Genomic DNA, 16225 nt, shown 5'->3' with positions numbered 1-16225 from the left:
GTCTATATTACAAGCAGAAAATGGAATTGTGGGAGAATGCTTCCAAGTGTGTAAGCTGCTGTGCAAATGTGAGGAATTCTTATCACATACCCAAACTGTCTTGGAGCTGCACTGATATATAACATATTGCATCATGGAATCAAAAACTCCCTGCAAACCTGCAGCCCCAGCCCTGTGCCAGGGAGAGGCAAACATGAGGCATTTTTCCCCATGTGGCTTTAGGGACTAGAGTGAAGGATGTCCCAAAAGGAGACAAGTCCCATAGGAAAGGCTGAGGAAACTGGGAAGAGAAGCTCTGGGAGCCCAGAGCACTGTCTGAAAGACTGGGTGGCCCTCCTGAGGGAGAGAACTGGGTTCGTATGCAGAGTGAATGAATGAATATGAGGCAGAATTTTCTAACACTTTTCTGGCAAATCTATTCCAAAGACAAAGTGACCTGAGAGGTAGCAAGCACCCTGTCACTCTAGCTGTGTGAACTGTACAGTTACTCTTTCTATTAATACAGTGGTTTGGAGAGGATTCAAGCGTTGGGTGGAAGATGTGTGTATTGGGGGTGGGGGATGGGAGGGTGAAGGCTATGGGAAAATGAGAAGAAATAATGTGTCATCAATTAGGATTAGATTTGACTGCAGGAAACAGAAGCCCAAAACAGTAATGGCTTATATAACATGGATACTTTTCTTTCTTACTTACGTCTTTCTCCCATGAAAGTCTGAGGATGAGTGATCCGGGCTGGTGTGGCAGCTCTTCTCTGCCTGATTGCAGGGGTAAGGGAGTGGGAGGGGGCTCATGGCTCCTGTCTTTCAAATCACATTCCCTATCGTGTGGCCTTCATCCTCATGGTCCAAAATGGTGGCCAGCATATCCACATTCCAGGGAGCAAGATGAAAGAAGGGACAGTGACAGAAGGATGAAGGGGCAAAGGTGGAAAAGGAAAAGGAAGATTCTCAGAAGCTGCCAGGGGTGTCGATGCTCTCATCTCATTGGCTAGACTTAGTCACATGGCCATGGCCAGTGGCAAAGGAGGACGGGAAATGTTGTCTTCATTCTGGGTGGCCGTGGTCGCAGCTACCAAGTCCATCTTTGTGGAAGGGGAGAACGGATGTTGAGGGACAATCAGCAGTCTCTTCCCTAGATGATATTCTTGATCTCTTTCCATTCTAAAAGTCAAGTCCATGCGTTTGTTGTTCTCAATTCTCTATCACTATAGCCAAGGTCTGAACACTTGCCGTTGGCCCAAAGCAGGGATCTGAGTGACATGGAATGGTGAGACAGGTGAGGGAGGGTAGGAGAGCTCAGAGAGATGCCGGATATTAGAGAAGGGCAGCCTCTCCATTCTTCTTGCTGACTAAGCATCTTCCCAGTGTTTGGAAGTCTGTCCCTGGGAACATGTGAGCTGAGCAACCTGAAAAATTGCCTTCCCTTGGGGCAAAAGGTGTTCTGTCCTTGGCTTTCAAAGCTGGGCAAGTTGTGAAATGGGTACTTGAAGGATGTTTCCAAATTTGTACAAAAATGGAGGTGAAGCTATTGTTCACTGTGTCAGGAAGGGCCCTGGATTTAACTGCTTCTGTGAAGGGATTCATTCTGGAATTCAGAATCAGGAAAACGCTTATCTCCAGCTGAGCTCATATGACTTTCTTAGTCTGCCGACACATCAGATAGTGCAGTGGCCCTCTGTTGTGTTTGTTTCTTAGCATTATGCCTTTCACCTCCTTTTGGTAACATCACCTGCTTTTCTTCTGTGCAACCCATCCCCTCCCCACCTCAGCTTTCAGTCCATGTGGTTCCGATGGGGCTGATTCCATCCACTCTTCTCCTCCAGGGGGTGAGCACAATGCTCAGGCCTGTCTAATTGGAGTCATGGTGATGAATCTGGATTTGTTCATGGTTCAGTTTGGGCCATTAAGAGACAGCCCTGGGACTTTTGCTAACTTAAGTGGTGGGGCGGTGGGGAGGGGTGAGGGGAAACACATCTTTTCCAGTGTGGGTGCTAAGCTGATAAGATGTAAATCTGGAGTTGCTGGTGGCTATTTTTGCACCTTATAGAAAGAGTTTTCCTGGGAATGAGGGAATAAAATCAATACACAGGACAGCAGAGCAGAGAATGGAGAGTGTGACACATTACCAGTGACATTACTGGGCCCCTGGAACCAGCCATGCCTGAAGCTGTTATACCCCTGAATTTCTTTCTTTTTTTTTTTTTTTGTTGAGATGGAGTTTCACTCTTGTTGCCCAGGCTGGAGTGCAATGGCTCCATCTCAGCTCACTGCAACATCTGCCTCCCGGGTTCAAGTGATTCTCCTGCCTCAGCCTCCCTAGTGGCTGGGATTACAGGTGCGTGCCACCACACCCGGCTAATTTTTTATTTTTAATAGGGACAGGGTTTCTCCATGTTCGTCAGGCTGGTCTCAAACTCCCGACCTCAGGTGATCCACCCACCTCAGCCTCCCAAAGTGCTGGGATTACAGGCATGAGCCACCGCACCCAGCCTACTTCTGAATTTCATAGTATATGAGTCAATGTTCTTTTTTGCATAAGCTGGTTTAAACTGAGTTTCCATCACATACAAATGAAATTATCCCCAATAATACATTAACTAAAACATAATTCTGCCAGGAAATGGAAATAAGAATTTTGTGATTAAGAATGCTAAGTCTGGCCGGGCGCAGTAGCTCACACCTGTAATCCTAGCACTTTCGGAGGCCAAGGCCAGTAGATTGCTTGAGGCCAGGAGTTCAAGACCAGTCTGGCCAACATGGTGAAACTCCTTCTCTAACTAAAAATACAAAAATTAGCTGGACATGGTGTCACTTGCCGGTAATCCCAGCTACTCAGGAGGCTGAGGCATGAGAATTGTTTGAACCTGGAGGCTGCAGTGAGCTGAGATCCTGCCACTGCATTCCAGCCTGGGTAACAGAGCAAGACTCTGTCTCCAAAAAAAAAAACAAAAAATAAAAAAAGGGCTGAGTCATCTCAGCCCGATGATATATCTGCTGTTCTGCTTCTTCTATAGACAACATGTTGGGAGTCTAATGAGCTTGGACACCGTGGCAGAGTGTCTGTGAAATGGTTGCCAACGATTCAACCCTGTGCGTGTGTGCTGTCTCCCAGTGGGAGGTGAAGTCCATTCCCCCTCCCCTTAAATCATGACTCATAGCTTGTTTTATGACCTGCTTTGACCAGTAGAGTGTGGCTTATGTGATGGTGTGCTAGTTCCAGGCTGAGGCCTTACGAGACCTAGAGCCTTGTGCTTTTACTCCCTTAGAGCTCTGAGCTGCCATGTAAACAAGTCCAGCTACCCTGTGGGAAAGATTATGAGGCCACGGGAGAGTTGAGGCCTGGGCAGACACCGATGTTTCAGCCACCATAGTGAAGGCATGACATGTGAGGGAAGTTATCTCGAACATTGCAACCCCAGCCAACACCATGCATAGCAGAAGAATGGCCCAGGTGAGCTCAGCCAACCCGTGTGTGGGATATGATGAGGTTTCCCTTGAAATAATCTGCTCAATCTTTTATTCTTTAATTCATAGTATCCCCCCACTCCTTCTCCTCCTTCTTCCCCTTTTTCCCTGTTGCCTTTTTTAGATGCTCAGGCACACCTCAGTACCAGGCGTTATCCGTTCCAGCTCACATTCCTTTCCTTATTTGGAAAGGGGACTAACTTTCTAGCTCATTACAGACACCCCTTCCCCTTCTTTTTTACTTTCTTTTACGTGCCCACCCTATCTAAAAAAAAAAAAAAAACCAACGTTTAGCCAACCAAGATTAGTTTAGATTGTAAGACCCGACCCTGGCCAATGGGGAAAGGGTACAAAGGCAGGACTTGCGTCAAGAATAAAAGCTCTCGTGACCTTTGTTCAAGTGTGATCTCAAGGCAACTAGCCGAGAAGGCACTCCCCTGCGCAGAAGTAAAATTGCTTTGCTGAGAATCCTTTGTTCGAGTGTACAATTTCCTTAGGATTTTGAGCGTTATTCTTAACACGTGGAAATCATGAGAAATAATAAATTGATATTTTAGGCCAAGTAATTCCAGCACATCGGGAGGCTGAGGTGGGAGGATTGCTCGAGCCCAGGAGTTTGAAGCCAGACTAGGCAACATAGTGAGACCTTTCTCTACAAAAAGTAAATAAGCCAGGTATGGTGGTGCATGCCTATGATCCCAGCTACTTGGGAGTCTGAGGTGGGAGGATTACTTGAACCCAGGAGGCTGAGGCTGCAGTGAACTGTGATTGTGCCACTGCACTCCAGCGTGGGTGACAGAGCAAGACCCTGTCTCAAAAAAAAAAAAAAAAAAGCTATTTTAAGCCATTAGATTTTGGGTTGGTTTGTGTTGCGGCAAACCAAATGTTACTGCATTAGCTGACTGAAACACCCACTTGAGCAATTTTGGAATATCAGGATGTGTCACTGTATTAGTTGGTTCTTGCAGAGCTGTAAAGAAATACCTGAGACTGGGTAATTTATAAAGAAAAAGAGGTTTAATTGGCTCACGGTTCTGCAGGCTGTACAGGAAGCATGATGCTGGCATCTGTTCAGCTTCTGGGGAGGCCTCAGGAAACTTACAATCATGGCAGAAGGGGAAGGGGAAGCCAGCACGTCTTACATGGCAGGAACAGGAGCAAGAGAGAGAGGGGAGGTGCTGCATACTCTTGAACAACCCAATCTCGTGAGAACTCACTTACTCTCATGAGAACAGCACCAAGGGGGATAGTGCTAAACCTTGCATGAGAAATCTCCGTGCATGATCCAATCACCTCCCACCAGGCCCCACCTCTGACACTGGGGGTTAGATTTGGGTGGGGACACAGATCCAAACCATATCATCACTCCCTGGGTGTCTTATCTGAATAAGGCCCTCACTGAGAAACTGTGCTGGGCTGTGTTGGGACTGAGGGTCAGATGGGTAGAGCATCAAGACTAGGACTCTGGAACAATGAGACAAGGAACTCTGCTTCAGCACTGGAGGGTCCTGGGTTGCTGGGAGTTCATCTCGAGGAAAGACAGAGGTAGAGCCAAGATGTTTGCTTGGCAGCCTGACCGATGTCGGGGAACACCATTTGTGAGGCAGTCATTTGAACTGCCTTCAGCCCAGCCCCCTTTCAGGCAGCTGAAGGGAGACCAGAGACTGGTGCCCTAACCCCCCAAGCAGTGGTGGGCATGGTGGCAGGGGAGAAGCCCTCTCACAGCCCGCCTTGGGACAAGTAGAGAGGCCCACAAGGGCTGAAGTGCCGTTGACAGAGGCCAGGAAAAGGTGGCCTGGGGCAGGGGCTCTGAAATCACAGACCACTGAGTACTTCTGGGCTTAGAAGGCCCTGGGCCAGGAGAAACCGGGGTTAAGATTTTAACGTCTCTACCCTCCTCTGTTTTTCTTTTTCATTATCCTGCTTCAATTGGGCTTTGCCTTTCTAAACCATCTGAAATCCTTTTCAGAAGTGGGTGGGAGGCACATCAGATGCCTGAGAGCTGGGATTATCCCTGGAACCCCGGCAGGAGGCAGCGGAGCTGACAGTGCCCCCTCGGACTGCACCCGACCCACTCCAGGAAGGCCTCGAGTGTGAGTGCATGAGTGTGTGTGTGTGTGTGCGAGCATATGGAGGGGTGTGTGTGTGACTGTGTGAACATATGTAAGTGTGTGTACACGAACACTTGTAAGAGCTGTGTGAAAAATGAATGTGTGTTAGTGTATGAGAGTATGAGTGTGTGAGTGTTGTGTGTATACATAAGTGTGGGCGAGTGTTCGCGAGTGTGCAAGCTGTGTGGAAATGGGTGAGCTCTGGTTTGTATGAGTGTGTTGGTGTGAAAGGGTATGACTGTGAGCATGAATGTGTATATGTCTGTGTTAGCATGTGAGTGTGAGTGTATCTGAGTGTGTGAGTTTGGGGTGATTTGTGTGAAACGTGTTAGCATGAGTGTGCATGAGAGTGTGCATGTGTGAGAATGAGAACATGAGCGTGTGTCTGAATGTGAGTGCTAGTCTGTCCTCCTCATGGCACCACGGTGATCTTTAGAAAACGTACTGGTATCGTTCACTACCTAGTGGAAGGCGCTGCAGGGTGCCCACTGCTCCTAGGACCAGCCCATGCCCCTGGTGGCGGGGACTTGCCGTGGCTGATGGGGCTTCTCCTCCCCAGCCTTCCTCAGTCCTCAGTACCCTCCTTCCATTCCCCAGAGCTGGCCACAGCTGGTTGAAAGCAGCCCCAGGACAACTCTTCCTGGGGGGCAGTGCACAGGCCAGGGTGTCAGGGCCGGATGCTCTGGGACTGGAGAGTGCGGGGGTGTCGGCCGCCCAGGGGTCCAGGACAAAGAGAATGCTAATGTGCCAGAGGTACCTCTGAAACTTTGTCCTGACAACAGTGAGGCTGAAAAATCCCCAGGCCTTGGCCTTGGCCTTCCACGACTGCCAAGGTCACAGGCTCCCTTTCACTGGGATTCAGCCTGGGAGGCTGGAGACGCGCTCTCTGCTGCCCTCTTCTGGGCACCTGCCGCCTTGCGGATGCAGAGGGAAGCCAAGCCCACTGGCCCTGCAGAGCAGCTTCTAGTTTTGTGCGTGGGCACAGGGCTGCAGACGAGCCAGGCTGGGTGCTTCCCAAGGCTAAGGATAGGGGTTCACTGATGCTTGATGCTTATTGCAGGTCTGACACTTGGTAGATGCCCCCACAAAGGGAAAATGAACACACGGATTGGTTGAGGTGGTAATCAGAGGGGAAACTGAGCCCCAGAGAAGGCAACTTTGAGTTTGTTCCACAGGCGGGACTGGAACCAGGCCCTCTGGGTCCCCAGGGCTTGCCCAGCTGTGGCGTCATTGGGGCGTGAGTCCTGGCCTTTTCCTGCTTGCTATGAGCAGAATTTCCCAGGTGACTGGGCTGCCCCAGGAGAAATTGGAGGCCCTCCTGTTGGGGCAACTGGGTCAGGCTGGGCAGCGAGGGGCTGGAACCCAGCCTCCCTCAGCTGGTGCCCAGGCTCGCCCTGCCAGATTGTGCTGAGTTGGCCCACGCCTGGGCGGAAGATGACACGGACGCAGACACGCCCGGGAGCCGGAGGGTAGGGGGGTGCCCCAGATCCTCCTCTGGGCCTACCCCCTCTGCCACGCCATCATTACCCCCCAACAGAGGAGGATGTCAAGGTTCATAGAGGCTGGCGTTGCCCAAAGCCGCAGCCCCGGCATGTCCAAGCCTCTCTCCCTGCATCCCAGAACTTGCCAGTGAGTCCTGCTTCCTTCCTCCAGCTGCACAGGAGCTCCTCCGTGCCCTGCGCTGAGATGCGACCCCTTGAGTCTCATCCCGGGGCTCCCAAACAACAGCTGGCCTCATCTCTTCTGGTCACTCCATGTAGAAAAACGGAAGACACAGACACGCAGAAAGAAAACAAAATCACCTGAGACGCCCCTGCAGTGATCAGCCGCACCCCCAGATAAGCTTGTTAGCCCTGCCCTTGGTTGAGTTTAAATGGATTCTTCCCCTGCTACTGACTCCAGGACCGAATCCCCTCCCTAACGTCTCTGTGTGGCCTCCCCGAGTCCACCTTCAACCCTGTCTGAGCCAAGACGCCCCCATCCTGGCCTCACAGGCCCAGTGCCTGACCCTCTTAAGCTTCCCCTTCTCCCACCACACCGTCCTCAACGATGGCTCAGGAAGCGGGTGGGCCGCAGGGACCGAGATCCCACTTCTACATGAGACGACTTGGTCAGCGACCCCTGCTCTAAGACCTTCCGTGGCTCCCAGGCCAACAGGAGAAGGTTCAGATAGCTCAGTCTGGCATTCAAGGTCTCACCTCACATGGACCCCTCCACCCTGGTGGCCTCCAGGAATGGTCTGCCTCTTTCTGGGTTGGCCTCCCTTGATCGCTTGGGAGCTGTGTGAGAGCAGAGCTCCATCTACTTTATCACAATATCCCCAGGGCTTACCCCAGGCCTGCACATAGTAGGCACTCAGTAAATGTTCGCTGAAACCAAAGGGAGCTGCTTTGATCAGATCAATTCAGTCTTGTTAATAACAAGAAGCAGCACTTATTCAGCAGGCATTATGTCCAGGTATTGTGCTAAATGCACTCTAAGGATTCCCCACTGAGTCCTTGGAACTGCTCTATAAGGTGGTGCTACTGTAATGCACGTTTTCCAGATGAGGGAACTGAGGCCCACAGACACTAAATGATTTGATCAAAGCCATATCCAGGATTCTGATCCAGCCCATACCCACTTTTTTTTTTTTTTTTTTTGAGATGGAGTTTCACTCTTGTTGCCCAGGCTGGAGTGCAGCGGCATGGTCTCGGCTCACTGCAACCTCTGCCTGCCGGGTTCAAGCAATTCTCTTGCCTCAGCCTCCCAAGCAGCTGGGAATACAGGTGCTCGCCACTACACCTGGCTAATTTTTGTATTTTTAGTAGAGACAGGGTTTCACCGTGTTAGCTGGGCTGGTCTCAAACTCCTGACCTCAGGTGATCCTCCCACCTCGGCCTAAAGTGCTGGGATTACAGGCGTAAGCCACCTTGCCTGGCCCCTACCCACTTTCCTAGACTGTAGGGTTTGCCTGCCTGTGCCCATCTGTGTGTATGCTAGGGGTCTGCCCCCTTTTTGTCTCCCTTTTACCCACGCTTCTCTGTCAGGACCCAAAGCGCCCTTCCATTCCTCTCTCTCAGGCTCAGCCCCAGGGCCAAGGCAGTGCAGGGAAGGGCTGAGTGCCTGAGGCTGCAGGGATGGGCTCTTCAGAGAACAGGCGCACATCTGCTGTTTCATGTGGCTGAACAAGATCCAACAGGCCGATTTTAGGTAGCAAACCTCAGGTTCCTGAAATGAGCTTGAACTGATGCAGCATTCAAGAAGCCTGGCCTGGGAATTTGGGCCCAGGCACAATCGCAGACATGCTATGTGACCTCTGGCAGGGAGCTTAGCTTTGCTGAGCCTCAGTTTCCATGTCTGTAGAATGGGCATGAGAATAGCTACCTCACAGCATCATGGGGAGGATTAAACATGAGCTGGCACTGGAGGCATCCCATAAACCACAAGCCACTAATAAAGGTGAGGGGGAGATATTATTGCCCTGGGATTAGCGGTGGCCCAGTTCAACCACTAGGAGGAGAGACGGGAAGGACAGACGCAGCCGGCAGGAGCCCAGGTTTTTCCAGTTAGGGTGTGTGCATGTGGGTGGGGAGAGGTGGAAAGGAGCACAGGAAGGAAGGTGGGGCCTCTGTTGCCAGCTGCTGAGTCACCCTCCTCTTTATTCTTCCTTTTACGTTAAAAAAAAAAAAGGTCTTAATTACTTTTTCTGCTTACAAAAGTGGCACATGCTCATCGTATAAAGTTCAAACAACATCAAAATATACAGTGTGGAAGGTAGCTCGTTTCCCATGCTTATGCTCCCCAGATGGAACCACAGTTGACATTTTGGTGTATGTTCTTCCAGATTTTTCTCTGGATGAACAGATGTCTATTTACTAATTAGAGAAGCAGATTCCTTGAAGATAATTTAATTTAATTTAATTAATTAATTAATTAATTTATTTTTTGAGATGGAGTCTCACTCTGTTGCCCAGACTGGAGTGCAGTGGCACGATCTCAGCTCACTGCAACCTCCATCTCCTGGGTTCAAGTGATTCTTCTGCCTCAGCCTCCAAAGTAGCTGGGATTACAGGTGTGCGTTGCCATAGCCAGCTAATTTTTGTATTTTTAGTAGAGAAGGGGTTTTGCCCTGTTGGCCAAGCGGGTCTCGAACTCCTGACCTCAGGTGATCTGCCCACCTTGGCCTCCCAAAGTGCTAGGATTACAGACCTGAGCCACTGTGCCCAGTCCTTTGAAGATAATTTAAAGTGAGGCAGAACTGTGTAATGGGTAGCCTCTCACCACCATCTCAGAACTAACCACTGTTAACAGCTTTGTAGGTATATGCTTGAATGTTTTATATGCATTTGTATCTACAAGTGGGCGTAAAGGTGGGGGGAGGCGTTAATGATTATAGACACAAAGGCCAAGACACCAGCGTACAACTCCCAATAGGTCACTAGTTTGGGCGAGTGACCTCTCTGAGTCTCATTTTCTTCCTCGGAAGATGAGAATTCCACCTTGTTTAGAGTGTGGCTGAGAAAATGAAATGAGATAAAGTATGCTGAGCTCAGCACAATGTCTGGCTCAGCCAGGATTAGCTATTGTTATAGGCCCACACAAAGAGTCTTTTCCTCCTGCAAAAATGGGATCATACTATGCATACACTCCTGCTTGGTTTGGAGGCAGAATTACGGGGAAAGATTAGTCATAGGGATCCTGAAATTTACATTGGAGATGAGAAGTCTTGCATTTAAATTCACAGAATTGGTTGTGCAAATGTAGACTGGGAGAAACCTGGATTTCACAAGCTGAATCATGGCCAACTCTGCCAGGTGGCTGCATCCCCAGATGCTGAGCTCTCTAAGGAGGGAGATGATGGGGCTTCTGTAGCCTGGGTTGCTCAGTCATCTGAGGCTTCCATTCCCCCTCCCTTGCCATGCGGTCTTCCAACTACCTACTTGAAACATTTTGAAACTTCTAAAACTTTCCTCCCTTCCCAATCCCCACCTCCTGCAAACCCGCTTTGTCCTCCAATCTCCCCAGCCACAGCAGAGGCACCAAAATGTGCCATTTGCTTAAACCAGACAGGGGAGGGGTGAGGAATGCTACATTCTGACTTTTCCCTCCCACAGATCACTTTCTCTTGGCCTTTCCTCCCACACGTGCCCACTCCGCCTCCATCCCACCACCCTATAGTTCATTCCCCACCCCACAGCTAGAAGAAATGTTTCAGTTTACTTCGGTCTTTTTGAGTAGGTAGCATGATGGGTTGAATGGTGGCATCCCAAAAGATATGTCCAAAGCTGGATTCCTAGGATCTGTGGGACTGCGACCTTGTTTGGAAAAAAGGATCTTTGCAGATGTAATTAAGTTAAGAATCTTGAGACGAAGAGATCATCCTGGATTATTTGAGTGGGTCCTAAATTCACTGACAAGTGTCTTAATCAGAGTCACATGGGGAAGATTTGACAGAAGGGGCCAGGTGTGGTGGCTCACGCCTGTAATCCCAACATTCTGGGGTGCTTTGCTTGAGCCCAGGAGTGTGAGACCAGCCGAGGCAACATGGCAGGACTTTGTCTCTACAAAAAAATATAAAAGTTAGTTGGGCACGGTGGTGCGCCTGTAATCCCAGCTACTCAGGTGGCTGAGGCATGAGAATTGCTCGAACCCAGGAGGTGAAGGTTGGAGTGATCAGAGATTGCACCACTGCACTCCAGCCTGGGCGATAGAGCCAGAACCTGTCTCAAAAAAAAAAAAAAAAAAAAAAAAAAACAGAGAGAAGGGGAGGAGGCCCTGTAACCACACAGACAGAGATTGGAGCAATGTCCTCGATGCACCAAGAAATGTGTGGCGCCCCAGAAGATGGAAGAGACAGGGAAGAGAAGCTCCCCACAGCCTTGGGAGGAAATGTGGCCCTGCCCACGCCCGGATTTGAACTTCTGGCCTCTGGAAATGTGAGAGAATAAATCGCTATTGTCTGAAGCCACCCAGTTTGTGACAGTTTGTTATGGCAGCCACAAGACAGGAATACAGATGATATCTACATATGGTTAAGATGTCAAAATGATGCAAGAGTGGGTATTGAGAAGTTTGCTTTCATAGGTAAACACTTTTATTAGGTCCTTTTGTATTTTTCCTGGGTTTCTTTATATAGATATAAAAAAGTATACAAGAGGAATACATTTGCTTTCCCTCCCTGCCCCGTTTAGGAGTGATCTTTTAATTTTACTTTTTTTTTTTTTTTTGAGACAGAGTCTTGTTCTGTTGCCCAGGCTGGAGTGCAGTGGAACAATCTTGGCTCACTGCAACCTCCCGAGTAGCTGAGATTACAGGCATGTGCCACCCTGCCTGGCTAATTTTTGTATTTTTAGTAGAGACGGGGTTTTGCCATGTTGGTCTTAAACTCCTGATATCAAGTGATCCACCTGCCTCAGCCTCCCAAAGTGTTGGGATTACGGGTGTGAGCCACCGTGCCTGGCCAGGAGTGATCTTTTAAAATGTGTATCTGACGCTGTCAGTCACGCACTTAGATGAGATCCAAACTCCTCAAGTGGGCTACGCGGCTCCACCCAACCTGGCCTCTGTGCCCCTCTGACCCCATCCCATGGTCTCCTCTTGTCCTCTAGGCTCCAGCCCCACTGTCCTCCTGCATGAAGATCCCACTCTTTTTCTTCTTCTTCTTTTTTTTTTTGAGATGGAGTCTCACTCTGTTACCCAGGCTGGAGTGCAGTGGCGTAATCTCGGCTCACTGCAACCTCTGCCTCCCGGGTTCAAGCAATTCTCCTGCCTCAGCCTCCCAAGTAGCTGGGATTACAGGCTCCCGCCACCACACCCTGCTAATTTTTGTATTTTTAGTAGAGATGGGGTTTCACCATGTTGGCCAGGCTGGTCTCGCACTCCTGACCTCAGGTGATCTGCTTGCCTTAGCCTCCCAAAGTGCTGGAATTACAGGTGTGAGCCACTGCACCCGGCCAATCCCGCCCTCCTTCTGCCAGGTCTTGGTGCCATCCTTGCTCCTGCCTGGACCCCCCAGACCCTTCAGTCCCCACTGTCTTCCTGTAATTCCTACTGAAATTTCATCTCCCCCGAGAAGTCCTCCCTGAACTCCCAATTTAAAATAGCTCCTTTGTTTTTGGCTCTTCTTATCATACCACCCTGTTTACAAAGTGTGAATTCCTGCATTTCACCGAATGTATGCCAATATAAAATTGTCTTGATGATGTTTTATGTATTTTTCCTTCTACCTAATACTATAAATACATCTGTCTCTTTGTTTGTTCCTGTTCCCCGTACCCTACTCTAGACTGTAAATTGAACTGGAATCTGTTTTGTTCACCCCTCCATCCTGGGTGCTGGAAATGGTGCCTGGAACATAGCAAGCCTTCCATAAACATTTGTCAAATACATAAACGAATACTGAAGGCCAAGTACTTTATGGAAACCATGACATACACTAAAGAAAGAGTTCTTAGGTTTTCTCTAAAATAGCTCTCAAATAGCGGGCAGCATTTTGTGTGTGCATGTGTTATTCAGGACCACGGCATCCTATTTCACCTCCTTTGTGTGGGCCATTGAGCCATACCCTGCAGCCATTTCAGGGTGCCCTTCCTGCTGTCCCCTTCTCAGAGAGGCAGCTCTCAGGGAGCCTTGGGAACCTTTCTTTCTGAAGCAGAAAAAAAGTCTCTCTCCTGAGCCAACTTCTTCAGGGCACAGAAGGAGGTGGAAGATGGTGCCTCCAGAGGGGCTGCTGGTTCCAAGGCCAATGGCATCTTGGGATCCTTGTTGGGAACCCTGAGTCAATTCTGGTGGGTGACATCTCCCAGGGCCTTCTTCCTGGCCAGAGGCAGCTGGGGGATCTCCCATAGGCTGGAGGACCAGATTGAACACTGCTCTTACCAAGCTGGTATGGAAGGTGGCACCCTGGGTTTGCTTCCTGATGTAGCTACTTACCAGTTAGGGGGCCCTGGGCATGTTTCTAACACTTTGAACTTGTCCTCCATCTATAAGGACCAGAATATATACCTCACAGGTTGTTTGTTGTTCTATAAGGACCGGAATAGCCACCTCATAGGTTGATATCACAAATGAGATAATATGTGTAAAATAAATTAACAGAGCTGGGCACAGAGTTAAGGGCCCAACAAATTATCGTTACTTTTGTTATTATTATTATTATTTTTTGAGACAGGGTCTCATTCTGTTGGCCAGGCTGGAGTGCAGTGGTGTGATCACAGCTCACTGCAGCCTCCATCTCCCAGGCTCAAGCAGTCTTCCTGCCTCAGCCTCTAGAGTAGCTGGGACCACAGGTGCATACCACCACACTCTGCTAATTTTTGCATTTTTTTGTACAGACAGGATTTTGCCGTGTTGCCCAAGCTGGTCTCGAAATACCGGGCTCAAGTGATCCACCGCCTCGGCCTCTCAAAGTGTTGGAATTAGAGGTGTGAGCCGCCGCACCTGGCCATTATTATCTTAATAACAAGTATTGTCTGACCTCTCTGGCTCTTGTAAAAGCATAATGACAATATGCCTCTCATAGCAAGGATCAAATGAGGTCATGGGATGGAAAGTGCATTTTGTGCTGGGTTTGGGTTTGGTGGCTCACACCTGCAATCCCAGCACTTTGGGAGGTCGAGGTGGGAGGATTGCTTGATTGCCCAGGAGTTTGAGACCAGCCTGGGCAACATAGTGAAACCCCATCTCTACAAAATACTCAAAAAATTAGCTGGGTGTGGTGGTGCCTGTAGTCCTAGCTATTTGGGAGGCTGAAGTGGAAGGATTACTTAAGCCCAGGGTGTGGGGGCTGCAGTGAGCCGTGATTGTGTCACTGCACTCCAGCCTGGGTGACAGAGTGAGACCCTGTCTCAAAAAAAATTAATTGAAAGTTCATTCTGAAATGCAAAATCCTACAGAAATGTGTTAGGTAATAGTCCCTGATAACATTAATCATAGAAAGTCTTTGTAAGCAAGGAAACGTGTCCTTTCAGGGAAGACCACAAGAGGGCACCCTCTCCCCCTGCCAGTGCCATGCCTCATCACCCACTACTCCAGGAGGGTCTGGTCCACCCCTCCCTGTAAGTAAAAGGAGGTACAGCTCCTCCATCTGGGAAGAGCCTGGGCCCTAGGCTCTGTCCTGGGGACTTTTCGCTGGACTTGTCACATGGGGTGCCCATTCCTTCTCTATAGAATGGAGGCCCATGTGGTGGCATTGAGGGATGTGTTTGAAAGTGTTGCTACTTATAGAGCTGTGCTCAGAAATGGTCTCAACCCTGCATTTCTGCACGTGGGGTGCAGGATCTCATATTTACATGCGATGATGGAGTTTCTTCTCCAATGCAGGAGTTCTCTGGCTGTCTTTTTCACAGCTGTCTCTCCAGCCTCAAGCACAGGTAGGCATGCGTAAGTGCTTTAGTGGCACTGGGTGAGTAAAGAGGCTGCTCCTTTACCTGGATATTTACCATTATTCCTGCCCACTTCCAACCCCGATACCCCCAGGAATCTCAAACCACAGCGTGCCACCTGTCTGTGGGATTCGAGAAGCCCCATCTGACCTGGTGATCCATTCCCCAAGCATGTGGAAAGGGAGTTCTGGAAGGAACCATGGCAAGGACAAGGACTGTGAGCTTTGAGAAAGCCCCAGTGTCTGGTTGGGTCCTGTTTCAAAGCTGAAAAAGGAAGAGGTGCAGTGGCCAGTGGATGGGGCCTGGAGTGCCCCGGTCTGTCCCTGCACTCCCTCCCTGGGCTCCTTGGTGGCCTGTGGCCTTGTGGAATCTCAGGCCCCTCAGTAGGGAAGTGCTGCTACCCAGGCCTCCTCTCAGCTCCTGGGATGCACAAGAGAGATGCGGGGACGCCCTTTGCATTTGAGGATCATCAGGTGAGAGGCAGTTGATATGGTTTGGCTCTGTGTCCCCACCCACATCTCATCTTGAATTGTAATCCCCAGGTGTCAAGGGAGGGGCCTGGTGGGAGGTGATTGGATCATGAGGGCAGTTTCCTCCATGCTGTTCTTGTGAGAGCTGGTGAGAGTGAGTTCTCATGAGAGCTGATGGTTTTAAAGTGTGGCACTTCCTCGCTCTCTCTCCCCGCTGCTGCCATGTAAGACGTGCCTTGCTTTCCCTTCCTCTTCTGCCATGACTGCAAGTTTCCTGAGGCCTCCCCAGCCATGCAGAACTGTGAGTCAATTAAACTTCCTTTCTTTATAAATTACCCAGTCTCAGGTGGTATTCTTTATAGCAGTGTGAAAACGGACTAACACAGTGGTTTTTCAGGTGGTGTTTTTTTTTCCCCTCAAAATATGGCAGTTTGGAGGATCACGCCAAGGCAGATAACCATGTGAAAAGTGTCCTCATGTGCTGGCCACGCTGCCTATGGCACAGCTAATGTCCAGTGTTACTGCAGGGCCTGGCTAATGTCCAGAGGCCACTGTGAATCCAAACACCTGTGTGAGATGTGAACTGGCTTCACATTTCACACTCTTTCTTATTTGACCTGGTCAGTCACACCATTGTGACTGACAGAGAGGGGTTGCCACATGGCTAGATCCCAAGTGCCCCAAGAAGCCCTCACTGAGCTTCAAGGGACACTCTCCATCCCCTAACCCTCCATACCAGGGAAGCATCCCCAGACATGGCTGCTTCCTGGGGCCTCCAACTGCCAGGATGTGGGTCCTGACTGCTATCTATGTGG

The 16225-nt window shown here is 49.7% G+C and overlaps 6 annotated features.

Annotated features, from left to right (window-relative positions):
• Positions 3039-3333: an enhancer, noted in NCBI's record as "tiled region #14097; HepG2 Activating non-DNase unmatched - State 5:Enh, and K562 Activating DNase unmatched - State 5:Enh". NCBI's record gives its function as "activates a minimal TATA promoter and a strong SV40 promoter by Sharpr-MPRA in HepG2 and K562 cells {active_cell/tissue: HepG2 | K562}" and the evidence as "EXISTENCE:reporter gene assay evidence [ECO:0000049][PMID:27701403]".
• Positions 3039-3808: a biological region, named in NCBI's record as "Sharpr-MPRA regulatory region 14097".
• Positions 3044-3808: an enhancer, noted in NCBI's record as "H3K27ac hESC enhancer chr5:148824934-148825698 (GRCh37/hg19 assembly coordinates)". NCBI's record gives its function as "activates a minimal SCP1, AML or CMV promoter by ChIP-STARR-seq in naive H9 embryonic stem cells {active_cell/tissue: H9 hESC(naive)}" and the evidence as "EXISTENCE:reporter gene assay evidence [ECO:0000049][PMID:30033119]".
• Positions 6350-7167: an enhancer, noted in NCBI's record as "H3K27ac-H3K4me1 hESC enhancer chr5:148821575-148822392 (GRCh37/hg19 assembly coordinates)". NCBI's record gives its function as "activates a minimal SCP1, AML or CMV promoter by ChIP-STARR-seq in primed H9 embryonic stem cells {active_cell/tissue: H9 hESC(primed)}" and the evidence as "EXISTENCE:reporter gene assay evidence [ECO:0000049][PMID:30033119]".
• Positions 7168-7985: an enhancer, noted in NCBI's record as "H3K27ac-H3K4me1 hESC enhancer chr5:148820757-148821574 (GRCh37/hg19 assembly coordinates)". NCBI's record gives its function as "activates a minimal SCP1, AML or CMV promoter by ChIP-STARR-seq in primed H9 embryonic stem cells {active_cell/tissue: H9 hESC(primed)}" and the evidence as "EXISTENCE:reporter gene assay evidence [ECO:0000049][PMID:30033119]".
• Positions 15382-15882: an enhancer, noted in NCBI's record as "H3K27ac hESC enhancer chr5:148812860-148813360 (GRCh37/hg19 assembly coordinates)". NCBI's record gives its function as "activates a minimal SCP1, AML or CMV promoter by ChIP-STARR-seq in naive H9 embryonic stem cells {active_cell/tissue: H9 hESC(naive)}" and the evidence as "EXISTENCE:reporter gene assay evidence [ECO:0000049][PMID:30033119]".

Source organism: Homo sapiens, chromosome 5, assembly GCF_000001405.40.
Source record: "Homo sapiens chromosome 5, GRCh38.p14 Primary Assembly".
NCBI lineage: Eukaryota > Metazoa > Chordata > Mammalia > Primates > Hominidae > Homo > Homo sapiens.
The sequence above is the reverse complement of the archived record's forward strand: the minus strand, read 5'-3'. Positions and strand labels throughout refer to the sequence as shown.